General features: G+C 40.4%; 1 protein-coding gene across 22 annotated transcripts in view, besides 1 other annotated feature; it reads right to left on the reverse strand.

Annotated features, from left to right (window-relative positions):
* Positions 1-3837: 3837 nt before the first annotated feature.
* Positions 3838-15978, reverse strand: part of PSD3 (pleckstrin and Sec7 domain containing 3) — a 557503-nt gene continuing 545362 nt past the window's right edge. For all 22 annotated transcript variants that reach the window (NM_001412865.1, NM_001412866.1, NM_001412872.1 and 19 more), the window contains one exon: positions 3838-12493. In NM_001412865.1, the coding sequence (NP_001399794.1) occupies positions 12278-12493 (216 nt within the window). In that variant the 3' untranslated portion in view covers positions 3838-12277. The remainder of the gene's footprint in view (positions 12494-15978) is intronic.
* Positions 13834-14397: an enhancer, noted in NCBI's record as "H3K27ac-H3K4me1 hESC enhancer chr8:18394809-18395372 (GRCh37/hg19 assembly coordinates)". NCBI's record gives its function as "activates a minimal SCP1, AML or CMV promoter by ChIP-STARR-seq in naive H9 embryonic stem cells {active_cell/tissue: H9 hESC(naive)}" and the evidence as "EXISTENCE:reporter gene assay evidence [ECO:0000049][PMID:30033119]".

A 15978-nucleotide genomic window follows, 5' to 3' on the forward strand; every position in this document is an offset into this window, starting at 1 on the left:
TGTGGTGGCATGCACCTGTGGTCCCAGCTACTTGGGAGGCTGAGATGGGAGGATTTCTTGAGTCCAGGAGTTCAAGGCTGTGTGAGCTATGATCTATGATGTCACCACTGCACCCCACTCTGGGTGACAGAGCTCACCCCAGCCACAGTTCAGGCCAATTTAATCAGAATTTCTTGGGTGAGACCCAAGTATTTGGATTTTTAAATCCATGGGATTCCAATGCAGAGTGAAAGTGACTATTTTTATTGCCAGTTCTTCCTGGATGACACCCATACATCCTATTCCCGTGAGTGGAATCATTGCTTCTTCAATCTGAAGCTGACAAAGTTGGTGGGTCAGAGCTCTGACTTCTGTAGTTCAAAACAGAAGATGTTGAGGTGTGTTCAAATGCTGCAGCATGTCTGAAGAAGGGGGCCTGATGCAGGCTTTTCCTCTCTGTAAAATGGTGTAAATAATAGAGCTGCATCAGACTTACGCAAAAAGATTATGCCAAAAATTCATGCTAAGTGTTCAGCACAGTGCCAGGCTCAGAAAATATTTGTAATAATATTGTCTATCATCATAATAATCCAACCACTTACCCAAAGCCTCACTCAGTTCTCAGTATTTCCACCTGAGGTTGCCCAAGCACACTTGAACTGCTCCACTGGCTGACAACTTGTTTGTCATGGACAGCCTGGAATACTAGAAATGCCTCCTTTCTGTTGAGCTGCCATCTTATTTTTATAAGTTCCAATAACTAATCTAGTTAAACCCTTTAGATTGCTATAGGACAGTTCTCATGTCCCTCCCACGAAAGACTCATTTTGACATTGAAGACCAGTCTTCCCTGGTTCTGCATGGGTTAACCATTTCCAGGTCATACGTTTTCCATATTTCTCTCAATTGCTCCCATTTTTGGGGCACCCTGGCTGCTGCTTTTGCACATGCTCTGTTTCGTGTACGTGCCAAGTCTCAAGCAATTTACCCAGGGTTAGCCTTGGTGTCAAGGGCACTGCGACTCACCTTCCTTGTTTTAGAAGCCATACATACATCAGGCCGGGTGTGGTGGCTCACGCCTGTAATCCCAGCACTTTGGGAGGCTGAGGCGGGCATATCACGAGATCAGAAGATCGAGACCATCCTGGCTAACACAGTGAAACCCCGTCTCTACTAAAAGTACAAAAAATTAGCCGGGCGTGGTGGCGGGCGCCTGTAGTCCCAGCTACTCAGGAGGCTGAGGCAGGAGAATAGCGTGAACCCAGGAGGCGGAGCTTGCAGTGAGCCGAGATCGCGTCACTGCACTCCAGCCTGGGCGACAGAGTGAGACTATGTCTCAAAAAAAAAAAAAAAAAAAAAAAAAAGAAGCCATACATCAATGTAACCCAAGATCCCAAGATGGCACTAGTGTTTTTGGTGGTGCATCATCTGTTGACTTTCATCGAGCTTGCTATGGATTTCAGTTGAAGGCTTTCTTTCCCACTTACTCGCTATTCTGTGCGACACAATGTCCTATCCTGACCTTGTTTAATTGTTTTTTTTGTAACTGAAGTGTAAGACATTACACCCTCTTGCATTCTGCATTAATTTGCCCCATTTCTCTGCCTGATGAGATTTTTTTTCAAATCCTGATTCTGTCATTTAGTGTAATCATTTTCTCCCAGCTTTATGACATAACCATTTTTCATAAACTTGCCTTCTGCAGCTTCCATCAAGTTATTAATTAAAATGTTGAATGGATGGGGCCAAAAGGCAAGCTTTGCAGCGGGACAATAGAAATGCTCTTCCGAGTTGATACATATCCTTTAATCAGTGTCGTTCAAGTGGTTTCACACCCACCAACTCTACTAACGTCCAGATAATATTTCTGCATTTTGCCCAGACATATTTCATTAAAGACTTTGCCAAATCCCTTGTTATGGTCCAGATATTTTGTCTCCTGCGTTTTTCTAATCTACAGGTTAGTCTTATAAAATAGGGAATAAATGGAGTCTGAAAAGATTTCTTTTTGGGAACCCACACTGGCTTCCAATTAATTGCTGCTGCCCTTCCAATTTACTCTAAAAATATGCCCAAAATTAATATCAAGTTCACTAGTCTATAGCATACAGAACGCACACTCTTCTCCACTAATATTAGAAAGATGTATGCCTGTCTGCAATATTTCCTATTGCTTATAATTTATCAATAAAAATGGACAGTGATTGAGCAGTCTCATTGATGAATCTCAGTTCTGTGGAATAGAATTGATCTAGAGATGAGACATTTAGAGTTGCTTGTTGTATCCTTATTCTATTTATTCCTTATGCAATTTAATTTGCTCTACGTTTAATTTCCCCCTATGAGTTATCAAATATCTCTATAGTCCCACTGGTGCTGTTATTAACTGTGCAATACAGAGAATACAACAGGATACAAAACCCCCCACCTCCAGAGGACAGGCAGCTGACAAGGAGAGATTCGTATTTGAGTTTGTGATCTGAGAGACTGAAATAGACACTCTTTTATCAACTAAGATGAACCCTGAGGTTAAGGGAACAAATTTATCTGCTGTGGAGGCTTTAGGGCCTGACTAGCACGGCCCCTAAATTCCTATGGCTACAAGAAAAACCACATTCTTGATAAACTCCCTAACACTAAGAGCTACAGACAAATTGTCTGACCCTTTCTAACTCTGAATTATTAATACAACTACTACAATGCTGATTGGAAAGAAGACCAGCCTTACGAACATTCTTTCCTGGTAAGAAACTGCAGAGCTCAAACCAGTTTCAGCAGGTTCTAGAGACTGTGCACAAACTTAGTATCCTATAGGCCACCTTTCAACATGAAGAGCCAAATTACACCTCATTTTAATGCTAACACCTTGCCCTAAAATGAACGTAGGGTGTATGCTATGCATATATTTACCTATTGCACATGCGCTCGGCTCCCCACATACATATGGATAGCTTTTCCTCCAAACCCACTGCTGAATATGTATGACTCTATTGTGTAATACAGGCCCTGTGAGGCATAAAAACCAACCTTCCCTTCCCTCTTTGAAGAGAGAGGACCTTCGGTATACTTCGGAGACCACTCTCCGAGTTTGCAAACTGATATGGCCAATAAAGCTCTCCTTTCTACTAGTCAGCCATCCTGGTGGTCTTCAGACACATTTCACATTCCAAGCTGGAGTGAAAGCGAAGGGATGGTAAAGGATATAGCTCTCCCAATCCCCACAATGCTTTGATTTCTTTGAGATTTACACCTCATAGCAATTTTGATCTCTGCCATACATCATGTTCATTTGTGCTGGAGAGGCTGTAACCAGTGATCTTGTTTCAAAAAGTCCAAATCCCCCAACATAAGACATCCTTTCTAATATTTAGAAGTGAATAGGATGGCATTTTATTTTTGAATTTCCAAGTCAACGGATCTTACTTTTAACATTAGGTTTGATGAAAAGAGTAAAAAGGTACACACCAGGCAGAGTAAGGCAGTGATTTGGAGATCAGCATTTGCATTTTAGGACAATAAATAGCTGCATGGTCTCTTTGCCTTGATGAGAAATAAATGGGAATGCAAATGGCTCTTGAAATTGCTTCTAAAAGTTTATTTTCTCCTCCCCTGCTCAAAGCCCCTTAGTGAAGACAACAGATCTCTGAAGTGTTCAAACACAAATCTTCACAGAAATGTGTGGAGGTGAGTCGGTGTTAGTCTGATTTTCTCACCACTGTGTTCAACCACTCTGGTGGCATCTTTCAATGTGGGGCTTGCGGTTGTGTTTTTATGGAGGCAGGCAGAGTGTGGTGTTATTTGATTTTTAAAGGTATTATTATAGCTGCTTAAATAAGCAAATAAAAACATTCCCTCAAATGATTGAAATTTGTTGGATTTATTTCTTTCTAAAGTTTGTACATTTACATGTATCATATACATATTTTAAATCCTTCACTATTTTGCGTGATTTCTATTACATAAAAACCATTTAAATGCAATAAATTTTGTTGCCGTAAAACAACAAAATATCCCCAACTTATAAAAACACAGGAACAATTATATTCATAAACATTTACACAATAAATGTACTCTATATATCACAGCTTCTATACATATCAGATGACTCACTTGTCTACAAGGTTTAGATTTACTTGAACAACAGTGAAATAGGGTAATATTTATATACAACTATTTTAATAAAAAATAAAGCAATTGTAAAATGTAAACTTAATTGTCAAAATATTCTTTAAACACTTTAACAATATCCACACAAATTACTGTTCCTTTCAAAAGAAGACCACCACAAACGCCATCGTTTTCTAGAAGACGGCATTTCCAGAATCTGGTAGGTGGTGATGAGGAACAGGTTTCCAGTACGTGTTATAGTACCGCCAGCTTACCCAAAACTGCTAATGCCGACAGTTTCGCCATTGAAAAGGAGCAGGCTGCTATTTTGTCACTAATTACTTTCACAATTTGCAGGGGACATATGGCACCAGGACTGCAATAGAACTGAAATGATTGGTGGAGAAAACTTTGAAGGTAAAGAAATGTTCCACAATGCCAATTAGTTTGAGCCACAGTGAATATAACTCAGTTATTATAATAGGCTGGAAAAGTTAAAAGCTTCTTTTATATTAAAAGATACAAATTATCGCCTTTCTGCCTGTCCTATGGTAATCAAGGCTGACAATATAAATTCTCCGCTAGTGTACATTTAGAAATGGGTTCCTAAAGCTTGAGATATAAGAGACTGCAGGGAGGTGGTTAGGCCTTTACCTAACAGCTCTGATCTGGACTGAACAAAGCTGCTAAGCTAGCACTTGAGTATTCCTCGACCCTTCCCCTAGAAAGGAAACGTTAGCCATTTCCAGGAATCTGGGTGTGGAGGCAAAGATATCGTCCGTCCGTAGTTAGAACTCAGGGTGCCAGTTTGTTTTTTGCAAAGGTAAAATACGTGGTGTTAACTTCACTCAGAGAATCTTTGTCATGACGTTTGTTCATGTGCCACGCTCAGTGACTCAGTCACTCTCGGAGTTGATACCTTGCCTCAGCAGGGTCACGCTATCAGGACACCTGGATCCCTAAAGCAGGGGAAGTGGCATTTGAAACCCAGGCTGTCCTTGCTGCTCAGTAGAAGCCTGAGTGAAGTGGCGGCCGGGGGAGAGGTTCCTCTTTGCAGAGATGATGTGTTATCACCACTCTCTGCAGGGCTCTGGTGTTCAGGACTCAGAGCAGTGAGCCTCAGACCTGCAGTGTGGTCCTTAATCGAGCCTTGGGCTGGGACTCTTCTAGGAGCGCCTGAAGACTTATTTATGGCGACCGATGGGAAAATATTAAGTGAAACTCCAAAATTCTCTCCATTAACCAACATTTTCAGGAATTGAAGTTAGGGTGCTTATTTCTATAACACTATTCCTAAGAGCTTAGCTCTCTGCCCTGCAAAGGGAAATGCATTTTAGTTCGGTTCCTTTCCATTTCCATCCTCGCTGTTGTTGCTGATGGAAAAGTGCTCAACTGCTCAGCATGTTCAGTCGGAGCTCTCTTACCAGTAAAGCTCAGAGGGGAGTGTGGACAAGGCACATCAGTGCTCCTACAGGAAGTGCCTCCTTGTTTCTTCACTTGTACTCCTCTCTCAAAGGAATGATCTGCAGAGCAAGCAGCTCTGCCACCTTGGAAAATGATGCACACCAGCTTCTGGGACTTCACCCAGGCTACGGAGAGATGCTGGAGAGCTGCTGCTTGTGAATTACAAGAAAGCCTTCAATTTGGTGGTCCACAAGAAAGAATGTGATATGGATCCCCTCATTTATGTGTTAAAAATATAATGCATCTCAAAGTCAGACACTAGAGCTCAGATTCCACCCTGGCCCTTGGAAAACATCTGTGATGCAGTTTCCACCCCCTCTGTTCATCACCTCTTTAGAATATTCTGGCTCTTTGCATCTTAAGGTCTTATGTTTGTATAACTTAAAACATTCACTGTGTGTGCATGTGTGCAAGCATGTGTACACATGTCAGAGGTCCCAGACATGTCAACTTTTCTCCTTATACACCTAAGGGGACAGTCAACTGGTTCTGAATCTCAGGAGGAGAGGACTAACCACATGCATGGTTACCCTAAATGGAAAGCAACCACTTTACTGTCCCCTAAGCTTCAATTTGGTCTAATTACTCTTGTTCCTACAGTTTTACAAAAGTATCTTAACAGCATTAAAAATCAATGTGCATATATATACTCTCTCTAGAGTAGATATTATTATCCATATCAAATGGTTACTTGGCTTTATAAACTCCATGGCTTTATGTTTAAAGTCCAAACATTTCAAATGGTTAAGGCCCAAAAATGAAACGTTTTGCTTCTCCTACTCCTTTTCTACATGATTTTTGAATCAAATGGCTGTTTCTGCAGATCACAATAATTCTTAGAAGGAAATACTCTCGCAAAACTAAGACCCTGCCAATCATTCACAGAGCCAGTCCACTGCACGTCAAGAACCAATTAGGAAAAATGATATATTTGCAAAAATAGTTTGAGACTATAGAGTTAATTAACAACAACAAAAAAATGCCTCAAGTGTAACTACCAACACATTACTGCAGCCTGGAGCTGAAGTTAGTCTCCCACCCCACAATTCAAACTCTCTGAATCAGCTACAAAGACACGAGGCAGTGTGTTTAAACAAAAGACACTGCACTCAGCCACTCACTCAAACACACTCAGTCACTGCTTTAAATATACCAAACATGCTGGTTAATAAAATTTTAGTCTCTAGTTACCTATTTACACTCTATAATATAAGCAGTAAGCTCAAACAACTAAGGCCAGTGGCTCTTCTTTGGGGAGAGGCAGGAAAAAGAGACCTAAGTATAAAAATATTTAAAATAAAGTTTAAACCTGGTCCTGAAATTCTTTTACCTGTGACACTAGATGCTAATTTCTGCAACTGCAAACCTAGGATACAGTACCCAATCCTGGGATGCCCTGATATACTTTAGTGCTTGTGATATTTCTTCCAAGTCAAGCGAGTACGGATGCGGCACCACGAGAGTGGTTTGATCTCCCGTAAAACATACACAAATACATAAATGATATGGTGGGTACTTAATTCTTCCGAAAGCTATATTTTTTATGGACTAATTACAACAACAATAAAGAACGTGTGCTTTAAAGCATCACATTTTGTAATAAGCCCAAAATTGTCAGTTTGACTTTAAGTGCTCTTAATACTAAAGTTACTAAGACTGCACAGGCTGCCTTTTTTTTTTTTTTTCTTTTCTTTCTGTATTTCCCAAATTACAGGGAGCTATGCCCTTGGTATTGCACACAGTACACTGCAAAAGATTCACAAGGTTAGTTGAAAGTCATTTTTGCCCTGGTGATTCAAAGCTCAAAGAATTTTCTAGCATAAAGTCTTATTAAAAATTTTAATCAAAATATTATTTGAGTTTAAGTTTAATAAAACAATACCACTATATATACTCTCAACAACTTCATTATATAATCAGTCCTATGAGGTTGTACTTGCTTTTCATATCACACTGATTAAGGACAAAAATAATTTTGATGTACATGTACCATACACTGATATGCAATCTACACACTGATGCATTTACATACATACAACTATAAATACCCACAAATACAACAATGGCAGGTGACAGCATTTTCTTTGATGACTGACATACTGCCTGTAAGAATAGTCTCCAAAAGCCTGCAATACTACAGATACACACACAAATTACAAAGGATGAACCGAAGAGACTTAAGAAAACCTACTGTATATACAATTATGTAACTTGCAAAATTTTCCTGCTGTTGCATTCAAGTCAAACTGTCATGCAGATTCAAGTATTTAATGACATTCTCTCTATGAAGACATTCTCTCTGCATGCAATGGGCCAATTATTGTCATAAGCAGAAGGCTGCCCACGTGGGTTCTGGATACTGTAGGTACAAAAGGAGAATGCCTTTGGATTTCAGTCCTTCCTTTATGGATGAGAGATGGAAAAGGAATCTGAGAGAAAAATCAGTGACAAAGCCCCTCTCTATTGCTATCAATAATCTATCACGGGGTTATTCTGTGATGATTTGATCATGTAAGATGCTATAAGACTGGTGGAAAGAAATTTGCTGACATGTGGCAGAGCAGTGGCATGGCCTGGGAGACAAGATGGCCAGAAAGCTGTGGAGCAAGGTAGGAGGCCCAGAGGCGCATCTGCCTGCAAAGCTGACTTACCATTTTCTGTCAGAATAACTTAGATGCTTTGAGACAAAAGCAGATACTATTTAAACTCCAACTTGGACAATTCCTCATAAACTAGACTTCAGGTTTAACAACTCTTAGGATGCCACTTTGGTTCTTTGTTTTACAGTGCTAATTTTACAATTGGAAAAAATTCTGTCATTTGAAAAGTCAAGGGATGACTCACTGCTGAAATGAAGAGAGGTGGCTCCCAACCTGCTGAAAACTCGACCAAGTCCACGGGAGTTAAATTACAGAGATTCAAACCTGCAAAGCTAAACTTCTGTGAATTCAGGATGCAACATGCTTAACTGATGACTGCAAGGAAAAATGCCAAAGGAACTCAATTTCAAGGACAATTAATGAAACCCAAAAGGTTTTGTTAGTAAGACAATGGAGAAACTTCTTTAACGTCAATTTTCTTCCAATTGTCAATGATTAGTTAAAAAGAAAAGAGTGCAGCTCATGACAAGCAGGCCCTGCCTCTCATCCTTCCCAGATCTTTACATGATAGAGGGAGCAATAGGCAAAGGACAGTAGAAAAGCTCAGTGTAACTTTGTGTTTAGGCAGTAAGAGGCCTCTTTCCCTGCTGGTTGCAAAAATTCTTCCACAATCTCAGAAGTTCTGTAGCTTGGCCACAGGGTGAAATACAAACCTATCTTAGCCTTGGAAAGCCACCCAGATTTTCCTCTTCCAGAGTAAATTCCTCATGTCACTTTTGCCCAGGGGCCAGTCCTCATTTTCTAGATTAGGATAACAGTTGGAGACGCATAGAGGGTCTTGTGTTTGCCACAAGACCACTGCACCAAAAAATGCTTTCTATCCTCTGCATCTAAGAGGAATAAAAAGGTTACACATAATCCAGGGACTACATTTCCATCAGAGGACTCTCTCCCATCATGGTTTTGCTGAGATTAATTAAAATTCACAAAAGTATTGCTCAGTTTAATTAGACACTGCTGAGAGTTAGCAAAATGATGTTTCAAAAAAGTGCACTTCAGAAATGCCTACGGGCTGGCGATAAAGTAAGGACTCTGCATCCCAGTAATTAAGTTTTGATTGCTAATGAGGAATCCCAGACACCTCCCTGTAAAAGCCAGCATGCGAGGTGGGGACAAACCCCTAAAATTCAGATTTTATACATGGGCCACCTGTATGGTCAATTTTGCAACAACACTATGACCAAGGCATTCTGATAGCTGTCAAGATTTTCTGTACTAGAAATTAATATGAAGTGTATTGACGTGAAGAAGAATGATTTATCATATGGAAGGAAGTCCCAAGGCTCCTGGGCGCTGAGGTGGGCGACGGAGGTGGGTGGCGTACCTTCAGAGGAAAGGGAAGGGGTGCTCCCTTGTACCGTGAATTGGGCAACAGGCTTGGAGCAGCTGTGAAAGGAAACATCCTCAATTTCTTCTGGCTAGATGCCACAGGAAATAAATTATCCCAAAGGAAAATGTGGTTGGCTATGGGCCAGACTCTCAGAATCTAGGCAAATCAGTGACTGTTTCCTCCCATAGCATAAACTCTTGGCCTCCTTCATGCACTCATGACAGACAGCAACCTTCAGAAGCCTCAGGGAAGAGGTGTTCTCAGCCCATGCGCTAAAGATGGACAGCATCATGCTACGGCAGTCTGAGATCCTGGCTCACAAAAGAACCTTTAAAGTTGTTTTTAAAGATAAACTATGCAAACATGGTATACTGAAGCTTCAAAAGAGCCCTTCGTATCCAATGATCTATTAGCCTATCCAGAAGTCCCTGGAGTTAATATTAGTGACTCATATGACACGGACAGTGCTATAGTGGTGCTGATGCTAGCCGAGTATTTCAACACTACTCTAAATGTCAGAAATACTGTAGCAAGGTACCATTCAATGTATATTAAATAAGTAAAATACATACAGACATTCTATATACATAGATATAGACTGTGGGCAAACACATTCAAGCCACTCAGGGAAGTTCCTTTTTCTTTAGTTACTGAAGCTTGTAGATGACATGGTCTAGGTACCTCTCTCCCCTCGGCTTAGTATAAACATTTAGGCAGAAAACAAATATCCTGATAATTTAGATTATCAGGTAGAAAGACAGATAACTTGCTTGTGGATATGTTGGATTCAGTGAGAGGCTACAAAAATCAATCTGATACATGGGCCATATTGGTAACTATCCTGTTTGTTTTGCAGTTCTGAAACATAAACTTAGTTACTGCCTTTACCCAAACAAGGCAGAGAGTTAAAAGTGAGGTTTTTTTTTTTACAGGTGTGGCAAAATACTTATTACAAAGAAAGCAACTGCAACCCTAGAGAGGGGTAAGCCTTCTCTGGGCAATAGTCATGGACATTTACAGAGGGGAAGGAAGTAAACGTTAATAAATAATTCTGTAAATAAATGCTAGTACATCATAATAACATACCACTTAGACACTACCATGGCTTTACAGCAGGTTTTCTCTAATTCACTGGAACCATGCTATTCCTGTAGAGCAGCTGATTCTTTGGTCATAGTACCTTCAACAAATAAACTATAGAACTAGAGAAACTTTCTAAGGGAGGAAAAAGAAAAATCAAAGTGATACTATTAGTTCTGAAGTTGTGCCACTTGCGGAGATTTTAACTTTAGGGATTACAGAGTTTCAAGGTTAGGAAATCACAAAGCTCTAGGTCTCAGTGGGCTAAACTTTCACTCCTTTCTCTTCCTCTACAGAAGAATATTCTGTTTATCACCCTGAACTTCAAAGGGACTGTAACTGGAACAAGCTCATGACTGCAAAGTTAATAGAACCATTTTGAGTAGACAGAAAGAAAGGACTGAAAATAGATGAAGTATTTTTAGGAGAAAGTTGAGTAGTAGCAGAGTGAAGTGGCTATCAAGGAGACTGAGACAAGAATAAACAAAGTCACTTTGCACCTGCAACCAGAAGATTCCTCAGTTTTCCAACCATAATTCATTCTGACTACTACTTTCAGATATATTTTAAAGAACCAATATCCATCGTGGACAACTGCAGCTACGTTTTCCTTCCTTATTTTGTCTTAAGGACACAAGAAAAGCTGTTTCATTTTAGTATTAATTTGTTAGGAAGGAAGACCTCAATATCACAACCAGGACACAACCCCATGCCCACACACGCACACACACGCACGCACACACACATATGTAGAGTAAGAAAAATCTATTCCTGGATGGAAGGATATCAACGATAGAGATGATGGATTTCTAGTCTAGACCCTGTGGGAGTGAGGTAACAATTCCTGCAGACTGAGCACATGCCTACTGCTGCAGCTCCTCAAGGGCCGATTATTGCCCCCATCCTTTAGCAAACAAAATTAACTGGGTATCAATCTTTCCTCAGCCTTCAAAGGCAAAATGACTCCACTTCCTCTTTCCCTTGCTTGGCTGAAATGGAATCAGCACTTCAAGCAAGCTAATGTGCTTCCCTAAGTTCTCAATCCTACGATCTTCACGCTTCTTTTCCCTGCTTCCAGCAGGGTCCGATCTCAACAACAAGTGCTAAGCTGCACATGAAGCTGCCTCATATTGGAGCAACTAGATTCCCAGCACTGTGATTCTTACTGGAGCATCTGTGAGTGCTCAATTCTACCTCTGTGACTGGGCAAGATTTCACATATAAAGGCGTATATTAACTCCAGCTAGAATTTACTAAAACTACAGTTTGTCCAGTTAAGTGTTTCACAATGGATTAAATTCTTTAACCTTAAAAAAAAGTTTAACAGTTGATATGAGAATACATAAAACAACTGAGCAGACTGCAAACAAGAGAAAACCAAAAGAGAAGGGATACATAATTCATTCTGAAATCACGATCCCCTCCTCCTCACAGAAAAGGTGCATTAGCTATCAAGTTGCAAAAATCATCAAAGCAAAAGAAATCAAGAGCAAAGACAATCTGTACAGAAACTAACAAAAATATACAATAGAAAAAATTACTAATGCACCGTTTTGTCACAGACTTTTTTTTTTTAAATATATTCACGGATTACCAGAAAGATCTTGAAAAACCCTATTTTGCTCCATGACCAGCACTTCCTGGCCGCAGATGGACTCTAAGTAACTTTTTGCTTAATGCTTGGTGTTTCAGGTCGGTGATCCTTCCTCTCTGACACGTTACGCTTGACTTTGGCAGTGATTGGAGAAGTATCCGGGTTCAGCGAAGGACTCGAGTGCGACTTCTTCAGTCCTGCAGCCTCGCTTTCATCGTTACTCAGTAGCTCTTTGCCTCCTTCCTTGAGAATGCTGACATACATTTCATAGCGGGTTTTCTGAAGGCAAAGCCAGAGAACAACGGTAGTCAGAAAACTGTTCAAAATGCACGTGTGCAGCACACTTGTGTATTACCCACCTGGAGAGTGTGAATGGCTGTTGAAGACTTCGCTTCATTTCCCAAACTGACAAATTACTTGGGCACTTACTGGGCACATGAGAGGCAACTACAGAGACTGTCTTATGTAGATAAGAAATTAAGTTAGAATTTTAGTTCTCATTTGTTCTAGATTCTGACAGAATGTCAACTTGGAGTTGCTGGCTACCAGATGGAACACCATGAATCTAGAACACTCAGGCATGAGAAGGGTCTAAGTTGGAGGAGCTGTCACCTCTGGTTTTCGGCGGCTGCATGGCTCTTGTGGCTCTGTACCAAAGTCACCTGAGCCTCCCCAGGTAGTCCAGGCCTCACAAGAAACTGGCTTGGATATGGTTGTTTACTCTTTTTCTGACTCCCTGTAACCCTACAAAGGCTTGCCTTGAGGGACCATTCCGTGGCTAATCTCCTGGACAGTCAGTCCCCTATGAGACCATACCACCTTCTAGAAGCTGCTCTGGGTTTCCCTCCGTTGCTTTTCTGCAAGGATTACCCACTTCTCCGGTTATTATGAACAGGTGCTGCTATGAACAGTATGAAGCTGGCAGAATTTCAAGTTATTTTCTGATGCTTTTCCAAATCAACAATATTCATTACCAACTATGTACTGAGTACCTACTATGTTTCAAACAGTTCCTTGATTCCTCCGTCTCTTGGATATCTAAGATTTTTTTTTTCTTTTTCCATGGCTCTGGCACTTTTTTTTTCTTCCAGTTTCTATCCCAATCAATATATAGAACTATCATATATGTTGCAAATTAGAGAAGGGTCTCAGATTCTTAATTTGACACATTCTGGTAAAGTAAGTATTCCACCATCCTGCCTCAACGCATGAAGAATTTATAGAAAGCTTAAAGTGTTTTATTTCTAAACCAAAGAACATGTCAGATATAAACTGTCCCAACAAAGGCAGGCAAATTCTGTTTTGACTATACATCCGTCTTAGGGATTTTTCTAGTCAGATTGGGGTTTTGTACGTGTCAGTTTTAAGTTAGTAATTTAGAAGTGCTACCTTTTCAAGCTGCTTCGTTTAACAATGGGAAAAAGCTGCTAGACATTCAGTATGTTCTGGGGTTGGCCAGGATTCAAGTGGGGTGTGAGCGCTGGTTGCCGATGATGACATTTATTGAGTACCAACAGCTTAACACAGGTCATTCACACAATATTCATACACAACTGATAACTTACCATCCCTGCTTTACAGTTAAGGCAACAAAGGCAAAGACAAGTTCAAAGTCAAAGTAAGGAAGAAATGAAACTCGGATTTGAACCAAGGCAATCTGAGTTCAAAACCCACGGCTCTTAAGCTATATTACCTCCATTGATATGAAAATATAGATTATATGTATATAGATTTTAGGATGACTCCTCTGACAGACACTGTTGTTTGGCCAGTCAAAGGCCATTCTCAACTCCTTCTACTCTCATGTGCCTTTCACTACAAAGACTGATAAAACCAGAGATACTTACTTTCCCAGTCTCTCTTGTAGCTAAGTTGGGCCATGTGATATTGTGACCAGTAAGACGTAAGGAAGAGTCTTTTGGGGGGCTTCTGGGAAAGAGATTTTGCTTTCTGATAAAAGGGACAGACTTTAAGGAGAAGTCACTGGTGTTAGCCTCTCATTCTTTTTTTTTTTTGAGACAGAGTCTCATTCTGTCATCCAGGCTGGAGTGCAGTGGCATGATCTCAGCTCACCGCAACCTCCACCGCCTGGGTTCTAGCAATTCTCCTGCCTCAGCCTCCCAAGTGTCTAGGATTACAGGCGCACACCACCACACCCAGCTAATTTTTGTATTTTTAGTAGAGATGGGGTTTCGCCATGTTGGCCAGGCTGGCCTCGAACTCCTGACCTCAGGTGATCCACCCGCCTCGGCCTCCCAAAGTGCTGGGATTACAGGCGTGAGCCACTGCACGTGGCCTAGCCTCTTACTCTTATTCCCTCCTTAACATGGACATGACTCCTAAAGCTGCTGCCCCGTGACATGGGCAGTAGGTATGAGGAAATAGGACAACATGCTGCACCTGAGGAAAAATGGAAAGACGGAGAGAGCCATGTTGACATGATGAGCTGGATCCAACCCTAAGGCTACAACCTCTGGAATCATGTTAAATATGAATAATAAATATCCTATGGGTTAAACCACTGTTTATCAAGTATTGTTATTTGCAGTTTAAAGCATTACTAAACACACATTCCAATTTCAATAAAGAAGTAACAAAATACAGAATAGCATGCTAAGCATTATCTCAGAAGGCCACATGATAGTTTCATAAGGTTTGCTAGTAAAAAATGTCATCAGTATCACCCATCAGTAGATGCACTATGAAATCAGAGGACTGAACAAGATAATATCCACAGGACATAAAGATTCTAAACGCCTCTTCATTTTATGAATTTATTAATTAATCTACTCCTAAACTGCCTTGGTGGCAAGATTAAAAAACAGAAAAGAACTACCCCCAACAGAAACAAAGTTTGGTAAAATAGTCTAAAGGTAAGTTTAAAAATAGATTCAGGAAACCAGCGTAAGGCATACGATTTCATGAAGCTGGAGCGTTGACACAATGAAAAGAGAATGAAGAAAAATTGTTTAGATCACTTGAAAGGGGACAAAAGGAGAAAAGATGATAGGGACAGTTTTCCAGTAGTCTTTGAATAAAGTGATACTACTAGGAAAATCCACCTGAAAAATACATGAAGGAAAGCCATCTCATCCACTCATTTTACAGCTCCAGCTGCAAAGCTATTGTCTTAAATAAATTACATCAGTGTGTCAATCAACAAACAAAAGGCACAGCACAGAGGTGTGGCAGTGCATGAGTCATCAGATCAGAAGTAAAGACAAAGCAGAAAAAAGGGGGTGAGAGGGGCCAGAAAACAAAGCCTGCCCTGCTGTTAAGGAAGCCTTCGAGGGTTGATGAGTTTGCAAACGCCGTGCCCCATTTCTGACTTAAAAAAGGCTTATAGGGACACAGGTTACAAAACCCAGAAATGTAGCTTTGCATTTTACCAGTCTCTGAGTCTAGATTTTACTGAACCAAACCAAATATACCTCTTCAAAACATTTTAGGAAAACGTAACTTTAACTTCAGGACTAACCAGCAGGTATTAGTTTTAGCCAAGTATCTCTAGGATTACAGACTCAACCACATATGTAAATGCTATCCAGAGGATTTGAGGACAAAATAAAATTGTCTCAGAATAAAGAAAAATAACTCTGAATGATGCTCTGGAGAGCAAGGGCAAGAAACATAACTGAAATTTCTCTCTTCATTGATTTCGCCTCATATTCTCTTTCTGGGCAGTAGGAAGGTCATATTTCTTAACTATGCAACAGCATCATTTGGAGACTTTATTTCCTTTCTTCCTTTCAGAGAAGATGTGA

This window comes from Homo sapiens, chromosome 8, assembly GCF_000001405.40.
Source record: "Homo sapiens chromosome 8, GRCh38.p14 Primary Assembly".
Taxonomy (NCBI): Eukaryota; Metazoa; Chordata; class Mammalia; order Primates; family Hominidae; genus Homo; species Homo sapiens.